Source organism: Homo sapiens, chromosome 4 (genome assembly GCF_000001405.40).
Source record: "Homo sapiens chromosome 4, GRCh38.p14 Primary Assembly".
Taxonomy (NCBI): Eukaryota; Metazoa; Chordata; class Mammalia; order Primates; family Hominidae; genus Homo; species Homo sapiens.
This window is the reverse complement of record NC_000004.12, coordinates 186736073-186760673: the sequence shown is the minus strand read 5'-3', so window position 1 is coordinate 186760673 and position 24601 is coordinate 186736073. Positions and strand designations below refer to the sequence as shown.

Genomic DNA, 24601 nt, shown 5'->3' with positions numbered 1-24601 from the left:
CGCTGGATTCAGCGTGCACCCAGGAGCCAGCATTTAACAGCAGTGGTGAACACAGACACACGGGGGCTGTAGGGTGGTGGAATGGGGGTTGTGTGCCCTGGAGTAGGTAGCGGGTAAATAAAATAATAATAATAAAGGGTAGGGACCCAGAGACTAGTTTGTAGCCTTCAAAATTGTTGAAACATCAGACCTGCACAGGAGTGTTTGTTCAATAGGAGTAAGAAGGTGTTTGTAAACAACCATTATTTTTTATAAGGCTTCGATTTTTATAGAATCTAGAGAGTTTTATTTAGTAGTCTACTCTCTAGGGGCAAAATGGATTGAAGAGGCACCAGTGTCATGAACTCCCCATGAGAAGCGTTGTGTCCAGAGAGCAGATCTTGTTGGTATTGAGTCCACAAGAATGGACGGCAACGGATTCTGAGCTCCTTTCCTTAAACTAGGCCCTCTGAGCTAACCCCACAGCCCCCTCGGCGGGTGACTAAGGGAAGGCGAGGAAGTGATTCTCTGTCCTAGCCAAGTATACGTCCAGGCTTGGAGACGACTGGTAGGGCTTGCTGCAGCTTGTTCTAGAATCAGTAAGAACAAAAGATTTACCGAAATGTCTTTTTTCCCTCCTTCACTGCACTAAATTCCCTATTAACTAAAGCAATCTGCACGCAGCCACCCACAAACACTGGAAGCGTTTGGCAGATAGGCCCGCTTTCGTGTGGAAGCTGTGAGGAGGTTCTTTTTGTCGATATGTTTTGAAGTCCCAATTAATATCAATGCAATGCTCAATAAATATTTCCGTATTCGTCTCAATATCTTTGGACTTTCTTCATAGCTAGTTGTTTTTTTTTTTTTTTTTTTTACTCCCATAAAAATTTAATATCAGTGTGTTGGGCAAGGAAATGGATCCATGTATAAATAAGTGAAATGCAAACCATAGTTTTTTGTATGTCATTTCCTTCTAAACAGAAAATAAAAATAAATGATAGACATCTAAAACACCCTTACAGTTTACAAGAGGATCCCCGAAGCTACAGAATCACAGATGACGCGGAGCTGCGTGAAGGCGTCTCTGGGCGAGTCCCACAGGGAAGATGAAAAGCAAGCGGCCCGGAAGGGCCCGAGGGCGGAGCGCAGGCTCACGGGACACAGCGCGCACCAATGATGAGCAAACTGAACCAGCGTCAGGAGGCGCCAGTTAAACTCAAATGTTTCAGCTCAACAAGGCCTGTGAGGTGGTTCCTATTTCTCCAGTTTTACGTGTGAGTAAACGGGGGCTCAGGAGAAGTGATGTACCTAAAGTCACATGGCTAATAAATACCCTACTGGAGAAAAGATTTGAACTTGAGTCATGCCCATTCCCCCTGATATGGTTTGGCTGTGTCCCCATTCAAATGTCAACTTGAATCGTGTCCCCCAGAATTCCCCCATATTGTGGGAAGGACCCAGAGGGAGGTAGTTGAATCATGGGGGTGGGTCTTTCCCGCGTTATTCTCGCGAGAGTGAATACGTCTCACGAGATCTAATGGGTTTATCGGGAGTTTCCACGTTTGCTTGCTCCTTATTTTCTCTTGCTGCTGCTGCGTAAGAAACGCCTTTCGCCTCCCGCCATGATTCTGAGGCCTCCCCAGCCACGTGGAACTGTAAGTCCAATTAAACTTCTTTTTCTTCCCAGTCTCCGGTATGTCTTTATCAGCAGCATGAAAACAAGACTAATACACCCCCACACCATGGTACCGAAGACGGGACACAGCTGCTCTACTGATTAAATTCAACTGACGTGAGGTTGCAGCTATTCTATTCATATATTCACCATCCCATTCTTGATGATGTTCCTCAAGCTTACTTAACTTGCACGTGGATGCAGAAGAAAGGTTTCTTTTGAAAGACTGTTGTAAATAAAAGAGTCTGTAGTGCTTATGTTGTTGTTTGTTGACTGACTATAAAATAGATCCTTGCTGATTTGTACATTTGATTTCCCATGGGGCAGTAACAATATGAAAGTAGGATTAAGGCCGGGCACGGTGGCTCACCCCTGTAATCCCAGCACTTTGGGAGGCCGAGGCAGGTGTATCACTTGAGGTCAGGCGTTAGAGACCAGCCTGACCAACATGGTGAAACTCCATCCCTACTAAAAATACAAAAATTAGCCAGGCGTGGTGGCACGTGCCTGTAGTCCCAGCTACTCAGGAGGCTGAGGCAGGAGAATCGCTTGAACCCGGGAGGCAAAAGTTGCAGTGATCCAGGATCATGCCACTGTGCAGCAGCCAGAGTAACAGAGTAAGACTCCGTCTCAAAAAAAAAAAAAAAAGAAAAAGAAAAAAGTAGGATTATTATGTGTTTTTCCACACTATTGTCTTACTGTCTTTGTTCCCCTTCCTAAGTGTTCTTTTCGAATCGCACCAGGAGAGGGTTAGGATCACGGTAATAAGCCAACCCCAGGAATGTCTCCCATAACACATGAATTAAGTCAGCTGTGGCTTTTTAACACGCTTCGCCCAGTGGCTCCAGGTGCAGAGCGGGGCGGGCAGGAAGGGTCCCAAAGGACCATGAGGCAGTGCAACTCCTGACCGTGCACTGAGCTTTAAGAGCCTCAGTGCCTGGATTTGAGAATTCCAACCTCGGCATTGCAGCCCTTTTTTTTTTTTTTTTTTAAATAGTATGCCCATCTGTTGGCCTCATGAGCAAGCAGCTGCACGAGGGCCTGAGTATCAACATTCTTAATGTCAGGTGGTTGTGAAATTTTGCATTTGTGACAAAAAGTCTTCAGGGCCGTAATTAACAGAGTAGGGAATTTCAATTCGAATACTATAACTTCTTTAAAACTATGCCCATCTGCTGGCCTCATGTCCTCAACAGAGCTTGAGTCCTGAAAGCAACAGGAAAGGAAAATTACAAAATGTAATTGTTATTTCAATAAGTTTTGCAGAGAGGAGGGGACATGGTGGTGATGAAGTGGTGAGGAAAGAGGGATGGGCATGTTCGTAATTTACAAAGGAAGTAAGAGGAGCTGTTATAATTGGATTTCAATTCTGCTTTTCAAAATGTTCTCAGTAGGACCAGGCACAGTGGCTCACAACTGTAAGGACTTTGGGAGGCCAAGGCTGGAGGATTGCTTGAGGCCAGGAATGCAAGACCAGCCTGGGCAACATAGACTCTATCTCTACAAAAAAAAAAAAAAAATTCTCAGTAGAAATTGGGCTGTAGGTTTGGAGAGTCCTGGATTAATGTCTTACAATTAGCAAAACTCATGGTCTTTGTGCTTTCCTTCTCCCCCATGACCCCACTCCTTTCCAGCCTACCCCAAAATTTGAAAAGCAGCTTTATTTCCTTATGTAATATAGTAATGTGAGTAAACCTCACACTGATACTTTTTGTGGCCAAAGTGGGAGAAAGTTCCAGTAAAACGTTGTAACTATCCAGTCATGTTACCTGGGTATCCTTCCAGTCATTTTTTCTGTGTCTGTATATACATCTAATTTTACCCCAAAATTGAGATCACATCAGCATCATCTACTGAGCAACTATGGCTGGAATTAAGGATATAAAGATGAATAGGACATAATCTCTGCCCTGGAGACAAACCACATAACAGTTAAACAGATCATTCACCCTAGGGTGATAATGCTTCCTCAAGGAAGGCCCAGAGTGCCACCAATGAGAGCACTCCTGGACCCAGGATAAACAAGGCAGACAAAGCTTCCCAGAAGAGGTGTCACCTGCATGGAAGGATGAGGAGTTGATTAGATGACACAGGGTGAAGAGGGTGTTCCAGGTCAGAGGAGCAGGTCGATGGTAACAGCGTATTAATAGCTGTTCGGAATTGCTGAAGCATGCACTATCCACAATAGCAAAGACTTGGAACCAACCCAAATGCCCATCAATGATAGACTGCACAAAGAAAATGTGCCACATATATACCATGGAATACTATGCAGCCATAAAAAAGATGAGTTCATATCATTTGCAGGGACATGGATGAAGCTGGAAACCATCATCCTCAGCAAACACAGGGACAGAAAACCAAACACCGCATGTTCTCACTTATAAGTGGGAGTTGAACGATGAGAACACATGGACACAGGGAGGGGAAGATCACACACCAGGGCCTGTTGGAGGGTAGAGAGGGGAGGGAGAGCATTAGGAGAAATACCTAATGTAGATGACAGGTTGATGGGTGCAGCAAACCACCATGGCACATGTATACCTACGTAACAAAGCTGCACATTCTGCACATGTATCCCAGAACTTTAATTAGAAAAAAAAAAATTGCCGGAGCATGAAATGCCAGTGTGGAGGCTCCTCCACTGAGCAGAGGCCAGGTTGTGGAGGACCTAGAAAGGCGCGCCAAGGAATGTAGATTTTACCCCTTGGAAAACAGAAGCATTTCAATATGGTGTTGCTGTTTTGATAGATGATGGTGGAAGCATGTGAGGTTTGGATTTGAGACAGAACACACTATGGAAGACCAGTCAGGAGCCTAGAATTAGTCCAGGGAACAGAAAGCAAGGAAGAGGGAAAGAAATCCAAACTATTGGTGGTTAAGTTCACTGGACTTTGTGACTATTATGCGCATGTAGGAGTTGCAGGACAAAGAGTTACCCAGATTACCACCAAGGATGAGGTAATAATTATCTAATTCAGTTAGACAAGACAGGAAGTGAAGCTTGCCCTATGGCAGTGGAGGCAGACCAAAGCTGAGTTCAGTTCTCTGCATGTTGTGTGTAAGGTAAATATATACACAGGGCCAGTAGATCTGCAGCTTAAGTTCAGACAGGGGTTGAGGGATAGAGATACAAGGATAGAATTTATCTGCATACAAGTAAAAACCATGAGAGTAGATGGATTGAACTAAGGAGCATGTACAAAGTGAGACGAGCTGCAAGCAATGAGCTCTAGGCTTCATGCTTCAGAGGCTCCCAGGGTGTCAAGCTTTGTGGTCAATAGGTTGAAGGGTCTCTCACCAAACACCTGCGTAGTCATAAATCGAGATGTACCCACACTCCAAGTACAAGAGATAATTTATGAGTCAACCTTTCCTAAAAGGTTATTCCCAGTATGTTGACTGACTACAAGAATCATTCATTTATTTGACAAATCTTTACTAAGCTCTGTAAAGCAGGCAACAGTTCAAGACCCTGTTGGTGATGGTAGGAATGTAACGGCTGTTAGAATATGGAAATATTGCTGCCCCAGAGGGTATATCACAGTGGTTCTCAACTAGGGTGATTTTACTTCCCAGGAGACATTTGAAAATATCTGGTGACATTTTTTGGTTGTCATAACTGAGGGGGAAGTGAAAATGGCAACTAGTGGGTAGAAGCCAGAGAGATTCCTAAACATCCTACATCAGGACAGCAGCCCCCAACAGCAAAGAGCGATAACGCTCCCCAAAATGTCAGTAGCACCACGTTTAAGAAACGCAGGAATCCAGTCATGATTATGGGGTCCCTGCCAGTGTCCCCACCCCGCCGTGGCCTCTCCCTGGGTTCCGCCCCTCCCACTTTCTCCATACGAGCCACTGACGTGTTCTTGTATGCCCCTGAGTGAGCCTGCACACTTTGTTCAGCTTTATGGCCAGTGTCTGTTCTGCTTGGTTGGTGCCTGAGCCTTATCAGTTGTTAAATGTCTTAAATATTTTATAAATATTTATAAAATATGGTCTCTCTCTTTAATGAGTTCGTGAGAATCATCTACATGATGATTTTGACTGACATTCCTTCCTTTAAGAAAGATAAAACCTTCTACTAAATAATATGTATGACCAGAAAAATGAAGCTTTGATACACCTAGCTCTTTGTGAGGAGTTGGGAAAATATATATTAGTGGTACATGATACTACAAAAGAAAGAAAATAACATGATTATTGCCAACATAAAGGAAAATCTGGAAAAACTCTGAGAAATGTAAAAGGCAATGACCTGGACTCAGCTAGTTTATTCAAAAGTATATTAAGGTTAAAAAATTTAAATAATACTCAAAAAGATATTTGCAATATAGCAGGTGATAATAGGAAAGAAACTTTCCCTAAACAGTTGTTGAGCCAGTAATTTTCCATCCTTACACTTTTATATAAAGTTTATTAAATGTGAGTTACTACTACTATTTGGATACATTGTACAACATTTTAAAAGCTTTAACATAAACACTCTTAAAAATAAAATACCCCAAAGAAATTGCATAGCAAAGGAAGTCTGTTTTGAATATGTTTTTTCTTTCAGAACATCCTCACATATTGACATGGTTAGTTACTAAAGATAAACATAAAATATTAATCAGCCACCTACAGTGTTGCTGTCTCTTTGGTGCTGCTGAGAACTGGACAACTGAATTATGCTTATTAAAATGCACTGTGAATCAGAAAAACAGTTTGGTAAAGGCTTATTTTCCTGGTCATACAACTTAAAACAGGGTGGCATGTCTTTTAGTTCTCAAAGTTCTCCATTTCATCACAGCATTTAGACCTAAATAGGCAGCATTTGTGTAAAAGTAGTTTTCCCCAAAAAATATCTTTTTAGCCAACAACCTGGACTCCTCAAAAAATGTGTAAGTGACAGCTGCCTCCAAAGTATACTTTCATTTCTTTTGTTACTTGTAAAAGCAACTATTCTTTTTAGCCAGAAGATACTATTGCAGAAACAAAAAGGAAAACAAAAACAAAACGAGTTGTTCATCTCCACATAAAATTTAAGTCAATGTTTACATGAAAATGTCTTTCAATAACTTATATAAAAAATCCATTCCAGTTTTTCTGTACAAAAAGAAAAACATACACGAATCCAATGAGATATAATCAAAGTGCTTTTAAAAGTATAAAGTAGGCTGGGCGCGGTGGCTCATGCCTGTAATCTCTGCACTTTGGGAGACCAAGGCGGGTGGATCACCTGAAGTCAGGAGTTCGAGACCAGCCTGGCCAGCATGATGAAACCCTTTCTCTACTGAAAATACAAAAATTAGCTGGACATGGTGCCTGTAATCCCAGCTACTCGGGGGGCTGAGGCAGGAGAATCTCTTGAACCCAGGAGGTGGAGGTTGCAGTGAGTCGAGATCGCACCATTGTACTCCAGCCTCGGTGAAAACAGCGAAACTCCGTCTCAAAAAAAAAAAAAAAAAAAAAAAGTATAAAGTAAAAAACTAGTATCAGTACTTTCTTTGTCACGAGGAAATTGAAAATTTAATCTTAAGAAAGCGCAGGACTGGTTGGGCACGAGAAAAACCATGAACAACCATGTATTTTTGCCCTTATAATTAACATCATTTATTGCCACCTGAAATCTCGCTTGCTGAAATGGCCTTAAACTTGTCTATGTTTTTTCAAAAGGAGAATATTTTCATGTTAGCTTTCATTCAATGTTTACTCACCAAGTACCTGTTAAGATTCTGTGTCATGCCCCACATACAGTTTGACATTGTGAACTTTCTCATAAATGCCAAGATACTAATTACAGAATCTGCATTGTGTGTGGTCTAATAGGGCCATGGCCTTGGAAATCAGGTAGGGATCAGGCTCTGTCCTGGGGCACATAGATGGGAACTGATTCTGATCCCATCCAGGTAGCTCTTGAACCACATTAAAGACTCAAATTCATTTGGAACAAAAAAGTCCATAGTGGTATGCTCACTAAATATTTGTTAATCAACTTGATATTTTAGAATGTATATATCTTTCTGTGTTTTATCAGACATCTCAGATTTAAGACATACTATTGATTCATTACTGCCCTTGAAATTTTAGGAGACGGACTTACATGCATACATACACGAATCCAGCTGGAAAGAATCTGTTTTGTAGAAATGTTCTTATCTGTTATAAATGGCTTGTATTGAGATGCAAAATTTTCATAACATTTAGAGAAACCAAACTTTCCTAATGTTTCAGAGTTTTAAAAGACTTCAAAATCTTTGGGCCTCAACTACTAACAAACTCTACAGCACATGTGAAAAGTCCATGGCTGGATATTTCCATGGAGAATCAAAATTGGGCCACACCTAAACTTTCATTTTTCAACATCTATTGAGAATCTCTTTGTCAGATTACCCCTTCTTCCTAATTCTCAGTTTCTGTGTCTGCCAAGTGTGAATAATAAAGTTTCTTATATCATCATGTTGTTGTTAGGTGTAAATGAAACAGTGCATGCAAAGGTGTAAATGAATAGTTCTAGGACACTCCTACTTGGTCGGTCAGGCACATCGAAGCAGCTGCCTCCAGTCCGCTAAGTCACTCCCGGCCTGACCCGAGCACCTCATTTCATGCCTGAGTCTGTAGGTGTAAATGAAATACTGCGTGCAAATGAGTAAATACATTTTTATTCATAGACAAATAGGATATTAGAGCTGGAAGAACCTCAAATATCTAGTCCTCCTTCTGTTTAGAAATGAGAAAATTAACCCCCAGAGAGAGTAACTTGAAGAAAGTCACACAGCTTATCAGCGGGAGGTCTAAAATCAAAACCCGGGTCTCAGGACGTCCAGCTTGGTGCTATTTGCAAAATATTATCCTAGGGTAGAAGCTAAACTAACTTTGAAATAATAGTAAACTTTGTGCCGTAAAATACACCACAAAGTTCTACCCCCAAGCTAGCCACTCATCAAAAAGTTTCTCTTATTTTAGACTATAATACAAGCCCTCGACAGTGACTAATTTGATTTATTTTCTGGATTAGCTACTATAGGTGCTTTTAAAAATGTTTTTCCACAGGCTTTCTCATGGAAACAGAGCTAAATATGAACACTCATTAATCTTTTTCCCAAATCTGCAGAGGAATTTTAATAGATCTACAAGCTGTAATATCGAACAGGTTCTCCTGCGTCCTGAATTCCTCTGTACCATTGGCCCATCCCTGAGATTGTGAACCCTACATAGAAATCTGGGAGTGGAAAAGCAGCTGAGAGTAGAGGGGCTGAGATTTTGGGGAAGAGGGTTGCTAGGCGCAGAGGGTAGTACCAGCTTCTCTGCACTCACCTCTGCTTTGTTCTGAGGTCCTCTCTACCTGGGTCCCAAGGCTATTTGATTAATCAAAACCCGCTGGGGAAGCTTGTTTTGTTGGCTTAAAAAGAATTTGTTCATGTATTTTAATTTTTTAACCTTTGATTATGGACATTTTCAAACATTCACAAAAGTAGACAGTACTACATAATGAATGCCATGTATTCTCACCCAACTTCAACAAACTACCAACATTTGTCCATATTTTCTCATTTATTCCTCCCCACTTTTTTGCCCACTTCTAAATTTTTAAAAGTAAATCCCAGTCATCATATCATTTTGTCCATAAGTTCATCAGTGTGTATATCTAACAGATATAGACTTAAAAAAGGGCTGGGCGCGGTGGCTCGTGCTTGTAACACCAGCACTTTGGGAGGCCGAGGTGGGCGGATCACCTGAGGTCAGGAGTTCGAGACCAGCCTGGCCAACATGGTAAAACCCCATCTCTACTAAAAACACCAAAATTAGCCAGGTGTGGTGTGGGTGCCTGTAATCCCAGCTACTCGGGAGGCTGAGGTAGGAGAATTGCTTGAACCTGGGAGGCAGAGGTTGCAGTGACCTGAGATCGCACCACTGCACTCCAGCCTGGGCAACAGAGCGAGATTTCATCTCATAAAGAAAATAGATAATCACAATGTCATTATCACACTTGACAAAGTTAGCAATAAATCTTTAATACATGTAACATTTAATTGGTGTTGTTCTTCCAAATTTTCTTTAAAACATATTTAAAAATTGGTTTGAATCAAAATCCAAACAAGATCCTAACATTGTATTCAGTTTGTTTTCTAACTCTCCTTAAATATTTTACTTTCTCCCCTCCCCTTTCACCTATTCCCATTTTTCTCTATGCCTTTGTTCAAAAATGGGTTATTTTGTCTCTTAGGATTTCCCTTATTCTGAGTTTGGGAGACTGTATCCTTAGTGAGTCAATTGATATGTTCCTCGATCCCTCACATTTTCTATCAACTGGTGGATCAAGATGCTTAGTTAGATTCAGGCTCAGTCTTCAGGCTTTAATACCTCATAGGAGGTAGGACATCCTATGTGCAGCTGTCTATCCCCCTTTTAGGGACAAGATTCATCAGTGGGCTCAGGTGTTGTCAGACTGCCCCACCGTTATAAGGTTTCTCTTCAACCTTTTACCTAATGTTTCAAAGAGGCTCTCATTCCTCCTGCATTTGTAAACTGGGATTCTATTACAAGGAGAGAATTTTGCCCATCCACTATCTGGTTTTCCTGAAAGAAAGTACAGGGAAGGCAAGATAGATGCCTTTTTTTCCCTTTCTAAAGTTTTATCTTCAATTCATTTTTTGGAATATCACTATTGTCTCCTGAATTTTTATTTCACATATTTGATATGTCGTAATCCACTGCACGCATTCTCTTTGCTGCTGAAATTGCCCCATTTTTGACCAACAGGAGTTCTCAAATTGGCTCTTGTGTCCTTTTGACACGACCCAAGTTTGGCAGCCTCCTTTCTTTCTGGCATGATAAGATGACCGAGTATCATGTCGTACACCGTCTGCTCTCGGTGTGTGCCTCCCTGGATTGGCTTGGCCGTTGTCTTTTGCTCAGTGCTGTTGAAGACCCACTGGGAAGGCCAGCTGGCACTGACCACAGCTACAGGGAGCTTTGGTTAAGAAAGCTCATTAAGTTTCATCACCCTCTTCGTGGTGGAGGCCAGTAGTTCTAGGACACTCCTACTTATCGGTCAGGCACATTGAAGCAGCTGCTTCCAGTCCTCTAAGTCACTCCTGGCATGATCCAAGCACCTCATTTCATGCCTCGGACTGTAGGCCTGTCCTCCCACCTGGAGTTTGTAGGTCATCACTAGAGCGCACCTGCTCACCTGGCTGCCTACATGCTGCAGGCTGCTGCCGGGGGGCCGTAATTTGCACCTGCACACTCGTGTGCTTGGCATACTGAGGCTCTATTAGTCAGGCTGCCCAAAGGGCCCCAGCAAGAGAAGCAGGAAGTGAGGCAAACTTTGACCAGTGGGGGAAGAGAGACAGGAAGGGGCTGGCCGATTATTTACCCTTCCTTCTTGCTAACATTGTTCCAGGACGCAATGATTTCATGTCACCTCTCAGATGATATCCCTGCTGACCTGGCAGCCAGCTGCGTTTTCTAGAAGAATTCCGGCTGGTCAGCGATGTACTCTTATATATTTGCTTCCCTTCTTCTTTGCCTCTTTTTTCTTTTATCCTCATTTTTGCTTCCCTGGGGTTACACCACACACACCCACACCCACACACACACACCCCTCAATAAAAAGTTAGCATGTAAGTTTTAAGTTTTAATGATAAATATATATTAACATTTCAATAAATAGCCACAACACATTTTCAGTTAAGAGCACACAAATACCTTCCTTAAAAACCCGTAAAATCATTATTGTTACAATAATTTCAGTTTGAAAGACATCAGCTGACAAAACAATGCTCTCCTAAGCTTTGCATTTTCATACCCAACACCTTGAACAGAAGAGTTATGGTGCACACTTTTGACAGAAAGCTTCCAAACCAGGGAATGCAATGCTCTTGGCACAGCTGCAAAGAAATCCTTTACATAATTCACTCTTAAATAAAACTCAGAATCCAGGGCTCAGCAGGGTAACTCTGTAACTGGTTTGCTCTCCTCTTAACAGATTCACCAAAGTTTATAGCACGTGCACAAATCAATTTATAGATAGTGTTATTATTTGATATGGCTTGGTTTGCTTTGTTTTTAGCATTGGTTATTTTTTTATACAATAAATTAATTGGACCGCAGCCGGCAGTGAGTGGCAAATCAAGAAAAGGAGGTTTGATTGTGGAAAGCAGTATGGCGATTTCTCAAAGAGCTAAAAAACAGAACTACTATTAGACCCAGCAATCCCATTACTGGGTATATACCGAAAGGAATATAAATCATTCTCCCGTAAAGATACATGCACGCGTATGTTCATTGTAGCGCTATTCACAATAGCAAAGACATGGAATCAACCTAAATGCTCACCAATAGCAGACTGGATAAAGAAAATGTGGTACACGCACACCATCAAATACAACGCAGCCATAGAAAAAGAACGTGATCGTGTCCTTTGTAGCAACATAGATGGAGCTGGAGACCATTGTCCTTAAACTAACACAGGAACAGAAAACCAAATATCGTATGTTCTCACATATAAGTGGGAGCTAAATGATGAGAATATATGGACACATAGAGGGGAACAACACCCACTGGGGCCTTTTAGTGAGTGGAGGGTGGGAGGAGGGAGGGGATCAGGAAAAATAACTAATGGGTACTAGTCTTGATACCTGGATGATGAAATAATCTGTACAACAAACCCCCATGACACAAGTTTAACTACATAACAAACCTGCACATGTACACCGCAACCTAAAATAAAAGTTAAGGAAAAAAAAAAAGGTTTGGGGGATTTTGGTTCCTTGGAATTGACAGTAACTATAGGAAGCCTTTGTAAAAATAAAGATTCTCTGCTTCATATTTGAGAAATTCAGATTTAGTAAGAGCTGAGATGGGGCCTGGACAATTGTACCTTTCTAAAGCTCTTCAGATTATTCTGTTGTACAATTGGGTTTTAGAAGCAGTTCTCATACCCTTGTCTTCCTCTTGAAGGGGAGGGAAGAAAGTGGATGAAGTTTTGAAATAATCACACCTACCTACCCCAGCTATTCTCTTTTCTTGGCTCCATTTTTTTAAAATGGAAGAAAAATTGGGCTTCATGTGTAAGCTCTCAAGTCTATTCAAGCATTTTTACAGAAATAATCAAATTTTCCATCCAATTAAGTGAATCTGCATTCAAAACAGAAGAAATCATGGGTACTGAATCCTTATTGTCACTACACAACTCAATGTCTGTGTCCGTGCTGGATATATAAGCCTAAGCTGCAGATGGTTTTGAATGCTTATTGCTATTGTTTTGTTTTTTAATCAGTGAGACTCTCAAAATCCCAGCATCACTCATCTGCCAACACCAAAAACTGCTGGAGCTAATAAGTTGTCACCAAAACATTACTAAAGGAAGCTACTTTGTTTAAAATATGTTTTGCTGTGCTATGAACAACTCCAACTATACAGAAAAGTATACGGAATGGTACACAGTATCATCTAGTTTTGTCAAATCATCTAGTTTTGTCAAATCTTGACATCTATTCCTCTTCTTCTAAGAAACAAAACATTATAGATAAGAAGCTTTGTTACCCACTCATCAATCTCATTCTTCTCACTCCCCTTGGAGACATAACCACTTTTCTGAATATAAATATATTAGATCAGGTGTGGTGACTCACACCTATAATCCCAGCACTTTGGGAGGCCAAGGCAGGAGAATCACTTGAGGCCAGGAGTTTGAGACCATTTTGGGCAACATAGCGAGACCTCGTCTCTACAAAAAAGAAATAATAAAATAAAAAATTAGGCACAGTGTCACATGCCTGTAGTCCCAGCTACTTGGGAGGCCTAGGCAGGAGAATCATTTGAGCCCAGGAGTTCGAGGCTGCGATGGTTGCTGCACTGCACGCCAGCCTGGGCCACAAGTAAGACCATGTCTCAAAAAATATATATATTATTCTTACATCTTAACAAGTTCACTACATATGTATCCATAAGTAATACAAAACGGTATTCGACATTTTGTAAAATTATGTTTTATTATACTGTATTTAGCCTTCTCCAGAAAGCTTTGGAATAAACATTATGTTTAATACTTACATATTTCGACACGTGTGGTCTTTGTTCACTCAATATAACTACCTTTTATCCCAGCATCTGAATATCCCACAATGCATTTAGTCATCTTTTCTAATGGACATTTATGTCATTTTCAAACATCACTGTTTAAGCAATGTTGCCGTGAACTCATATGCATTAGTCACCTGGTGCCAGAGTAATAAACAACCCTCAAGTCTCAGAGGCTTACAATGCAAAACATTTATTTTTCTCTCAATGAGATCACGGTTTGGAGATAAGTTCAACTCTAAAACTGGGGCATGAGGGACCGGATGCAGTGGCTCACACCTGGAATCTCAGCACTTTGGCAAGCTGAGGCGGGCAGACCACTTGAGGTCAGGAGTTCCAGACCAGCCTGGCCCCCATGGTGAAACCTGGTCTCTACTAAAAATACAAAAAAACTAGCTGGATATGGTGGTGGGTGCCTGTAATCCCAGCTACTCGGGAGGCTGAGGCAGAAGAATTGCTTGAACTTTGGAGGCAGAGGTTGCAGTGAACCAAGATTGTGCCATTGCACTCCAGCCTGGGTGACAGAGCATGACTTCATAAAAATAAAATAAATAAAACTGGGGCATGAGGGAACAGAGAAAAGGAAAAGAAAAACAGGAAATTTCCATAGCCTAAGAATTATATATTCCCTTTCCTGCTCTTCAAGCTGGACTAGAGTATTCTTCTGGAGCTCTCTGTCCTTACTCCGGAGCTGGCCAGGGAGAGTGAAAGAAGGAAAAAAAAAAAGTAAACTCACTACCAGTTAAATGCTACTTGAATTCTGATCTTCTGTGTTCTGCCTCCTACTATTTACTTTCCAGGATCCTCAAATAGCTGCTGCATGCATTCTGTCTTAGTTTTACGGCTGCTGTTCAGTGGGAGAGACATCGAGTAGAGTGTACGTGCTCCATATTATTTGGAACCAGAATCTGCTTTCTAAATTTTAAAAAGTTATCTTGTGAATTGCATTGTTGCATGGTAAATGCACCTGACAGCAATAACTTAACACACCTGAGAATGACCCTGTATGGCAGACACACCTGAATGTGTGTGTGGCGCTCTGAAGTAAGGAATCCCAAAGTGCTGAACTCCGAAATTCATTCCTTATCTATGAGGAACATCTGAGCCCCAGCGCATCCCATGGAACATGGGCTTTATGAAGGGATTGAGGCCTTTTGGGTTAAATGAGGATTGCCACATGGGGGTTGCAGGGGAAGGGTGCTAAGTGAAGGTGCTAAATAAACTACACGCTTCCTGCACGCATATAAACCACACGCTTCCTGCACGCATATACACCACACGCTTCCTGCGCGCATATACACCACACGCTTCCTGCGCGCATATAAACCACACGCTTCCTGCGCGCATATAAACCACACGCTTCCTTCAGTGGCAGCAGTTCTCCCATCCGCCTGCCATCACTGCACTGCCCTGTATGTAAGCCCCCTTCGATCAACCCCATATTTCATTTGCTGGCTCTGGGTCTCTTCCTCGGCCTCTCAAACCTGGTGCCATCCTGTTGGAGTTAATAAGGGTCCAGCAAGACAATTATATAAGGAAAATAGTCAATATTCTATTAATAGTTTGATATTTTTTGAGGCTTGTTTTGTAGCCTACTAAACATCAATTATTGTGGGGGTTTATTTGTGCTTGTTTAGAAAACAAATGCTCATTACCATCTCTTCCTCTCATTTGCTTTTATAATAACACCACAGCTCGTTTCACTGGTGTGCTAGAACCAGCAACCACCAGCTCATCGCTGCGACTGTGGAAAACACTCTTCCCAGCTCCGCATGCGGATGTTACGTTGATAGTCTCAGGTCGGCCGTGGTGGGAATAGCTGCACCACAGTTATGAGAGCTCTCCCTTCCGATTCCCTTCCCCTACCCCCACTCCAGAGCTGGTTGTTAAGCATTTCTCAGCACACCTTACACCTTTTCGCTTCCACAAATACATCGTCTTCTTCTACCTCAACCAAGTCATAAAAACTTCCCCATAATTATATGTTTAAAATGATAGTTTAGAATACTAGACTTGGTAGGACTCGAATAGTGGTATTTCGAAGCCTGGTCTCTGAACCAGCAGCATCAGCAATCCCCGGCAACTCGTGAGAAGTGCAGATTGTGAGGCCCCAATCAAGTCCTCCCAATTCTGAAAATCTGAGTGGGTGGGAAGAACCAGCAACCTGTGTTTCAACAACCCCTTGGGTGGTTCTGATGTCTGATGAAGTCCAAAAACCACAAGCAGAGAAAAATAAAGAATTAACAGTAATAAACATTGTAAGATCAGTAGTAAAGTGAGAACGTATATGTGCTCCTGAATGTCCTGAAGGTGGAAAAGTGAATAGATATTTATTAAACAATGGGATTCTTTTTACACTGCAGAGGGTTACATTATAAAGTATTTGCAATTGCATAAACTATGAAACATGAAGAAACCAAGAGATACTATACTACTTATTGACATCTTAATAAATAATTCTGATTGATGTGATGATAGCTGAGTGTACTACTATTAATTTATAGGAAGATTCTACTTTGATTTATGTTTTTGTCTTATTACTACTGACCTTTGCGTGATCCCATTTTGTGACAAAGTTCTTTGGATCAGAGTACTACAATATTGGTCTCTAAATGAACACTTCTCCCGAGTTCATTTTCTGGCTAATTTGCATCCAAATGGCCCTATCTGAAACACTGATAACAGGGATAAGATAGTTGAAAGACCCAAATCTATGGAAGAAAGCTTATTAGAGTTCAGCTTGAAGAGTTGTATTATGCCAGGAGATCAAATTTCCTATATAACAATTATCTAATCTATGCCTTTTAAAGATATAAAGAAGACTTTTAGGTTATTGCTCAAATAGAATTTGAATACGTTTTACAACAGTCAATAGGTAACAAATACATAAAGGATGGAGAAAGTTGGAACCTATGTTGGAGTAATTGCTGTGTCTCAGACTTTATTAGGTGCTTACATATGTTCAGTCAATACGAGCCTATTAGGTAACTATTATTATGTACATTTTTAGATAAGAAAACTGGGGCTCGGAACTGTTAAGTAACTTGTCCCAAGTCCCAAGTGGCAGTCTGACTTCGGTGTGTCTGATGGCAAAGCCCACGTTCTAGCCCTGTCATTTGTATTCTTCAGCAAAACAATCTTTCCATGAAGTTTCCACGAATAATTCCCAGGTAGATGCATTAAAAAGGGAGTCTTGGCACATGAAAAATGCAATATGAACCTAGCCAAGCAAGAGTCAGATCTGAGCCTAAAATAAAACTGGAAGGTAATTTCATAAAATGCATAAAAACATTCACCATAGATTATTCGGGTTTTTTTTTAAGCGGGTATTTCAGATTAGCTTTCTATATTTGGCTATGTAATCGTGTCCAAAAATGAATCAGTGCAGCATGCCAAGATAATGATCACAGTGACACAATTAGTTGTGGAACTGCTGCTTAATGAACATAGCAAGTATTCATGGCCACTCTCCTGGATCCCGCGCCTGCCTTGTTCCTTTTCCAGAAGCGTCTGGATCACAGTCACCGTGTCCCGTGTGCACAGCCTGGGCGGAGCAGCACATGAGAGGGTGATGCTCAGTGGTCTAAGCACCGTGATGTTTACACCACTACTCTTGCTTCCTGTTGAATATTCCCATAGCTAATTGTGAAAATACTGAAGTTTGTGAAAATACTGAAGTTTTACAGAATAAACATTTGGAATATATTGCAATAGCAAACACAGATGGCCCGCATAGTGGAATTCAAAAACTTCTCATCCTTTTCAGAAGAACATTAAGCTTCAAAAAAAAGAATCCTGAAGATTTTCAGAAATGGATTCACTTGACTTGGCAGACTAAAGTCTACCAAAAAGTTATCCCTCTTAATACAATCACTATATTTAAAACACACACTAAAATAAAACCACTATTCAAAAATAACTATCCAACAGGAAATATCTGGACATAAAGGGAATCGAGAATGTTCCCACAGCTAAACCTTTTCAAAACACATATACACAATCAAAAGGCATATTGGATACGTTTTTACCTAAATAGGATATCTTGTAATTAGAACATTTCCAGAAAATGGGTGCCTCTTAAATATATTTATACAACCTTTATCTCAGTCTCTTAAATGTACAGCATAACCTCAACATTGCCTCTTCACAATAGAAATAAATAGACCAGAGATGACACACATACTTTCAAAAAAGAAAAACAAAAAACCAAAAAATAAACAGAGGTAGTCCAGTTATTTAGGCTTCTGCAGTCAAAGTACTCAACTCATTTCCAGAACCTTTCATTTCACATCCAAGCAATATGATATCAGAGAGCCACTGCCAAATGAAGCACAGGTAAATGCATTTTATGGCTATTTAATCAAAATGCGCTTTACTTCAGAGAGGCATTAAGAGACACGATTAAGGAGGCTTTCCAAAAAAAAAAAAAAATCAAGAAATGTTAAGAGTGAAGAAACAGTAACTTTTATTAAACTAAAGATTCAGCAATGAGGTTTTGATGGGCTTATCCACACAGGTGCCCTGCCCATATAGGACACATTAAATACTGACCCCGGGCCGGGTTTGGTGGCTCACAACTGTAATCCCAGCACTTTGGGAGGCCAAGGTGCAAAGGTTGCTTGAGTCCAGGAGTTTGAGACCAGCCTGGGCAACATGGCAAAACCCTGCCTCTACAAAAAATACAAAAACTAGCCAGGGGTAGTGATGCATGCCTACAGTACCAGCTACTTGGGATGCTGAAGTGGGAGGATGGCTTGAGCCCAGGAGGCAGAGGCTGCAGTGAGCTGAGATCATGCCACTGCATTCCAGCCTGGATGACAGAGAGAGACCCTGTCTCAAAAATAAATGAATAAATACTGAACCCCAAGAAGGCCTTCCTTCCTGGGAGCTAACTCCAGGGGATGGTGGCACCAGTCTTGGAATATTACGCTATCAATAATTTAGGGGGTCCTGAGAAAATAATTAAGGGGGTCCTATTTTTTCATGAGATCATTTGTAGCCATTATGTGAAATGCACAGGACTTTAGGGAACTGTTGCTAGAGCTCTTATAACATCTCCCAAAGGTGGTGATATTATCCGCTTACACTGTAGGTTTATCATCTCTCTGCAAAGCACTGAAAGCTAGTAGGAGTACCAAAACCTCCTAAGACATCCCATTACATGGAAAATCCTCTTGGAAGATACAAAGCGTGTCGCTCCTGACTATCACAGTTCTAGGTGTTTGGTAATAACTCATCCACAAAACGAACGTAGTGAATGCTTATCCCCTCAATAAGCTACCAAGCGATTTCCTGAACTCAAGGTACTAGACCCTGGGCTACCTTTGCTCTGTTATTGTGACTAGAGTAATTATCACAATCATTTTAGGGATTTTCCCCCCTCATTGTCAAATGTGGGGAGGGTATGGGCTATAGAATTAGATGATGGGCCGGGCGCGGTGGCTCATGCCTGTAATCCCAGCACTTTTGGAGGCCAAGGCAAGTGGTTTACCTGAGGTCAGGGGTCGAGGGAGGTGTATTACCTGAGGTCAGGAGTTCAAGACCAGCCTGACCAACATGGCAAAACCCTGTCTCTACTAAAAATACAAAAATTAGCCAGGCATGGTGGCGCGTGCCTGTAATCTCAGCTACTCTGGAGGCTGAGGCAGGAGAAGCGCTTGAACCCGGGAGGCGGAGGTTGCAGTGAGCTGACATTGCGCCATTGCACTCCAGCCTGGGCAACAAGAATAAAACTCTGTCTAAAAAAAAAAAAAAAAAAAAAAAAGAAGAATTAGATGATGATCTCATTAACACGACTCTCTTCCACAGGATCCCTCAATTCATTAATCTCCAAAAAAGTAATCTGTTTAGAAGATTGTTGAAACAGCCTTGAGTCACTTAAGATGATGGCATAATGATCCCCTGAGACTCGCCCCCATATGAAATCCTTCCACAAGAAGTATGTTTTCCCTAGTCTTTAAGCTTCCCTCCTCACTTCTTCCACGTCTGCAGTATTAAATTCTATAAAGATCAGTCATCCAACTCAGACGGTGCTACTCCTAGCATAAGATCAGAAAATGGGACAAGTACTCAGGGTTTATGTTGCTGTCTCTGGTGCCATCGCCTCACCCTCGACTCTCAATCTTGAGTGTGGGCTGCTAAACCAAAGGCAGGGATGGCAGGGCCTAATACCTTTCGCTTGCCTCTACCTTCCGCCCTTCTGCAGTCTGCTAAGGGGGTCGAGCCGCTCCTATCAATGCACCTCCTGCTCTTCCTTGCTTCAGTGGGAGCCCAGATGGGAGATGCAGGGAGGGAGGCTAGTGAAGACATGGTATTTGTTCCCTGGCAAGCTACGTGGGGATGGCTGTGTCCTTCAGTGGCACATGGCTGCTTTCTCAAGGTGGCGCAATCTGACTTTTTCTTCCTGGGTTCTAGGAACGCCTCCCTTCCCTTGTCCCTTCAGGCTGTGTTAAATGTTCAGCTGCTACTAGCATCAAGCTGCTGCCTATTCCTCCCCATTCCCCTCTGCTAATGGTTCTGACACTGTAGCACTTATCGTCAGCACCCGAAGGGCTTATTAAAGCAGGTGGCTGGCCCCAACCCCAACGTGTGGGATTCACTAGGTCTTGGGTGGGGCCCAGACATTGGCATTTCTCACAAGTCTGAGGCCACCTTTGAAAACTGCTGCTGCTTTATAGACACCTTTGTTTACAAGGAATATAGGCAGAGAGTGGATGGCAACTGCTGCCAAGAAACCACTCCCACAATTGCCAACAGCTGGTTTGGGAGAGATAATTAATAGGCCTGCTTGTATCAGTTAGGGTCCCAACTGCAAACAGATGGTGCACTTCAAATAGGATAACTCCCTACAGCCAGTCAGTGAATGTGCAAACCTCTCAAGGCCCTGAGGTTTTGTACTGAAGACCTAAGCACACAGGTAAGAAATTGAACTCTGCCCGTCTTCACTCATTGAAAATAGCTAACACAGTCAGGTGACCAGGCGACATGGATCTGCAGGCTGGCTAAAAGGCCTAAGCAGGTATTCCAGCTGTACCCTCTGCAACTTCTGTTTTTTTCTCCAAAAGCACTTGATGGCCTTTTCCTCTTCATTGCACTAATTCATCTTTACTCAAAGCATGACTCTTGTGATTTTAAGCATCTAGAAAAGCTTTTTTGTGATGGATAAAACTTTTATCTTACCAGCTGATGTATAGCCCATTTCTCTATTACTCACGATAACAGCTCTTCTCACTTCCACACATGTGCAGAGCATTTTCCATTTCTAGGCTGGAGGTTATATCCATTCTTGCTACTCTGTTTCTTCATATACTTGTCAAAAGAGTGTTAAACTGACACACTGATAGCTTTCAGGTTACAGATGGTCTCGATGTGGCCCTGTCCAATTTTCCAGCATTCTCCTTTTATTTATTTTTATCTTATTTATTTATTTATTTATTTATTTATTTATTTATTTATTTTTTGAGACGGAGTCTCGCTCTGTCCAGCCCAGACTGGAGTGCAGTGGAGCGATCTCAGCTCACCACAGTCTCCATCTTCCGGGTTTAAGTGATTCTCCGGCCTCAGCCTCCCAAGTAGCTGGGATTACAGACGCCCGCCACCATGTCCGGGTAATTTTTTTGTATCTTTAGTAGAGACAGGGTTTCACCATGTTGGTCAGGCTGGTCTCGAATGCCTGACCTCAGGTAATCCACCTGCCTTGGCCTTCCAAATTGTTGGGATTACAGGCATGAGCCACTGCGTCTGGCCTTGTTTTGTTTTGATGTTAGATATTTTAATAGTGACAAATATTTTAAATAACATATAAAATATTTTTAAGTTATGTACAAAATAAATACCAGCTACTAGAAACCCATTTCCCATCTCAGGACTAGAATATACCCCCTTCCTGCGTATCTCTCCTCATCCTTTTAAAAAACGATTATGGGGCTGGGCGCACACCTGTAATCCCAGCACTTTGGGAGGCCAAGTTGGGGGATCACCCGAGGTCGGGAGTTGGAGACCAGCCTGACTAACAAGGAGAAACCCTGTCTGTAATAAAAATACAAAAAAAAAAAAAAACTAGCTGGGCATGTTGGCGCATGCCTGTAATCCCAGCTACTGGGGAGGCTGAGGCAGGAGAATTGCTTGAATCTGGGAGGCAGAGGTTGCGGTGAGCCAAGATCATGCCGTTGCACTCCAGCCTGGGCAACAAGAGTGAAACTCTGTCTCAAAAAAAAAAAAAAAAAAAAAAAAAGCAAATATGCTATCTCTTCTGTATATTTCCCTAAGCAACATATTGTTTAGTTTTGCTGGTTTGGGCACATTTTCTGCAATTTGTATTTTCCACTCCCTCATAGTTCTAAGAATTATTCATATTGTTACATGTAACAACAGCACGTTCATTTTCCCTGTGTAAAGTTCATAATGGGAATATGGTATAAATTATTTATTCATTCTGTTGCTAGATACTTGAGTGTTTTCCAGTTTTTGTTATTATCAACAATGCTGCTGTGAATTTTCTTAAAGATATTTCCTGGTGTACACGTTTTAGAGTTTATCTTGGGTCTCCTAAAACTAGTAGTAGAATTGCTAAATTATAAGATACATGCATCTTTATGTTATATTACCATCTTTATAAGGTAATATCAAATTGTTTTCCAAAGTAATTGCACCAACTTCCAGTCCTACCAGTATTGTATGAGCTCCTGTTGACCCATGCCCTCACCACCTGTGATATGACATCTTGATTTTTTTGCCAGTATAGTTTTTGTAAGAGGATATTACATTTCTCTAATAGCTAGTGAAATTAATTATCTCAGCCAGTCATGGTGGCTCACACCTGTAGTCCCAGCACTTTGGGAGGCTGAGGCAGATGGGTTGCTTGAGCTGAGGAGTTTGAAACCAGCCTGGGCAACATAGTAAAAAGCCATCTCTACAAAAAATATTAGAATTAGCCAGGCGTGGTGGCATGCACGTATAGTCCCAGCTACTCAGAGGCTGAGGCGGAAGGATCACTCGACCCTGGGGAGCTGGAGGAGCTGCAAGTGAGTTGTGATTGGGCCGCTGCACTCCAGCCTGGGTGATAGGGCGAGACCCTGTCTTGAAAATAAATGATTTATTCTTAGACACTATATTAGTTTCTCAGGGCTGCCATAACAAATGACCACAAGCTGGGTGGCTTAATAATAACAAAAATTTATTCTCTCACAGTTCTGGAGGCTAGAAATCCAAAATCAAGGTGTTGGCGGGGCTGTGCTTCCTCTGAAGGCTCTCAGAAGAATCCTTGCTTGCATCTCCACCTCTTGCTGGCTCCAGACGCTCCTTGGCTTGTGACTGCATACCTCAGTCTCTGCCTCTGCCTGCAGGTGGCCTTCTCCTCCATGTGTCTCTCCCCGGGATGGCTCTTCTAAGGATGCTTGTCATTGGATTTAGGACCCACCCAAATAATCCAGGATGATCTCAAGATTCTTAATTACATCCGCAGAGACCCTGTTTCCACAAAAGGATTCACAGGTTCTGGGGATTAGGACATGTCCCTATGGTAGTCCCCACTCAACCCACTGCATGTACAATCCCTATTCATATTTCCTCTTCCTGAAATATAGGTTCATGATTTTTTTCCATTTTTCTATCTAATCTCTGCCTGTTTTTCTTTTCTTTTTTTTTTCTTTTTTTGAGATGAAATCTCTATCGCCCAGGAAGGAGTACAGTGGCACGATCTCGGCTCACTGCAATCTCTGCCTCCCAGGTTCAAGTGATTCTCCTGCCTCAACCTCCCCAGTAGCTGGGATTACAGGCACATGCCACCACGCCCAGCTAATTTTTGCATTTTTAGTAGAGACGGGGTTTCACCATGTCGTCCAGGCTGATCTCGAACTCCTGACCTCAGGTGGTCCGCAGTATTCATACAATAATATAGTATTGCTTGAATAATACAGTATTGTATGAATATTCTCCCAGTCTGTATATTTTCACATTTTAATAGAGGTTCTTAATTTTTATGTAATTGAATTTGTTAATCTTTTCTTTCATTTTAAAAACACTTTGTGTTTTACACAGTAAATCCTTCCATAGTCCCAAATACATTATTTTCTTATATTTTCTTCCAAATCATTTGACAATTGGCCTTACAGCTTTACATTTTAATTCATCAAGAAAATGTTTATGTTTATAGTGTGCAGTAAGGATGCAATTTTTCTTTTTTACGTGAGTGGAGATAACCGATGCCCCTCATCCCGCCCTGATGAATGTCTAGAGCAGCTGTGGTTACCTTGTAATAATGTGACTGCAAGCTTGAGAATAAAGGCATGACTTGACATGACTGAGGGATGGGATGCCGTCAACACTGAAGTGACCATTAGCTTTATTACAAAGCACAACTCAACATATATCATTGTATTCCCAGCACTTTGAGAGGCTGAGGCTGGCGGATCACCTGAGGTCAGGAGTTCAAGTCCAACCTGGCCAACATGGTGAAACCCCGTCTCTACTACAAATACAAAAATTAGCTGGGCATGGTGGTGGGTGCCTGTAATACCAGCTACTCAGGAGGCTGAGGCAGGAGAATTGCTTGAACCCAGGAAGTGAAGTTTGCAGTGAGCCAAGATCACAACACTGCACTCCAGCCTCCTGGGTGACAGAGCGACACTCCGTCTCAAAAAAAAAAAAAAAAAAAAAAAAAAAAAAAAAAAAAACCAACTAAAAAGAATAAGCAAATCTAGATCAACCTCCCTACTCTGATAACAGCATGAAATACGTGCTATCCTATAAGCTCTAATACAATTTTGCATACACTGAAGTCTATCTCTAGTCAAGTTTAGCTATAACCACCAGTAACTTAGTGCCATTCAAGCTGTATTTTGTGTTGCATATTTGCCAGATGACATCATTGAATAAATA

General features: G+C 41.7%; 1 long non-coding RNA gene across 1 annotated transcript, besides 2 other annotated features; it reads left to right on the top strand.

The window, feature by feature from the left end:
* Positions 1-1006: 1006 nt before the first annotated feature.
* LOC124900875 (uncharacterized) lies at positions 1007-1911 on the top strand. Its single transcript, XR_007058500.1, has 2 exons — positions 1007-1253; positions 1667-1911. It is a non-coding gene; the product is annotated as an uncharacterized LOC124900875 (long non-coding RNA).
* Positions 10318-10817: an enhancer, noted in NCBI's record as "H3K4me1 hESC enhancer chr4:187671011-187671510 (GRCh37/hg19 assembly coordinates)". NCBI's record gives its function as "activates a minimal SCP1, AML or CMV promoter by ChIP-STARR-seq in naive H9 embryonic stem cells {active_cell/tissue: H9 hESC(naive)}" and the evidence as "EXISTENCE:reporter gene assay evidence [ECO:0000049][PMID:30033119]".
* Positions 10818-11319: an enhancer, noted in NCBI's record as "H3K4me1 hESC enhancer chr4:187670509-187671010 (GRCh37/hg19 assembly coordinates)". NCBI's record gives its function as "activates a minimal SCP1, AML or CMV promoter by ChIP-STARR-seq in naive H9 embryonic stem cells {active_cell/tissue: H9 hESC(naive)}" and the evidence as "EXISTENCE:reporter gene assay evidence [ECO:0000049][PMID:30033119]".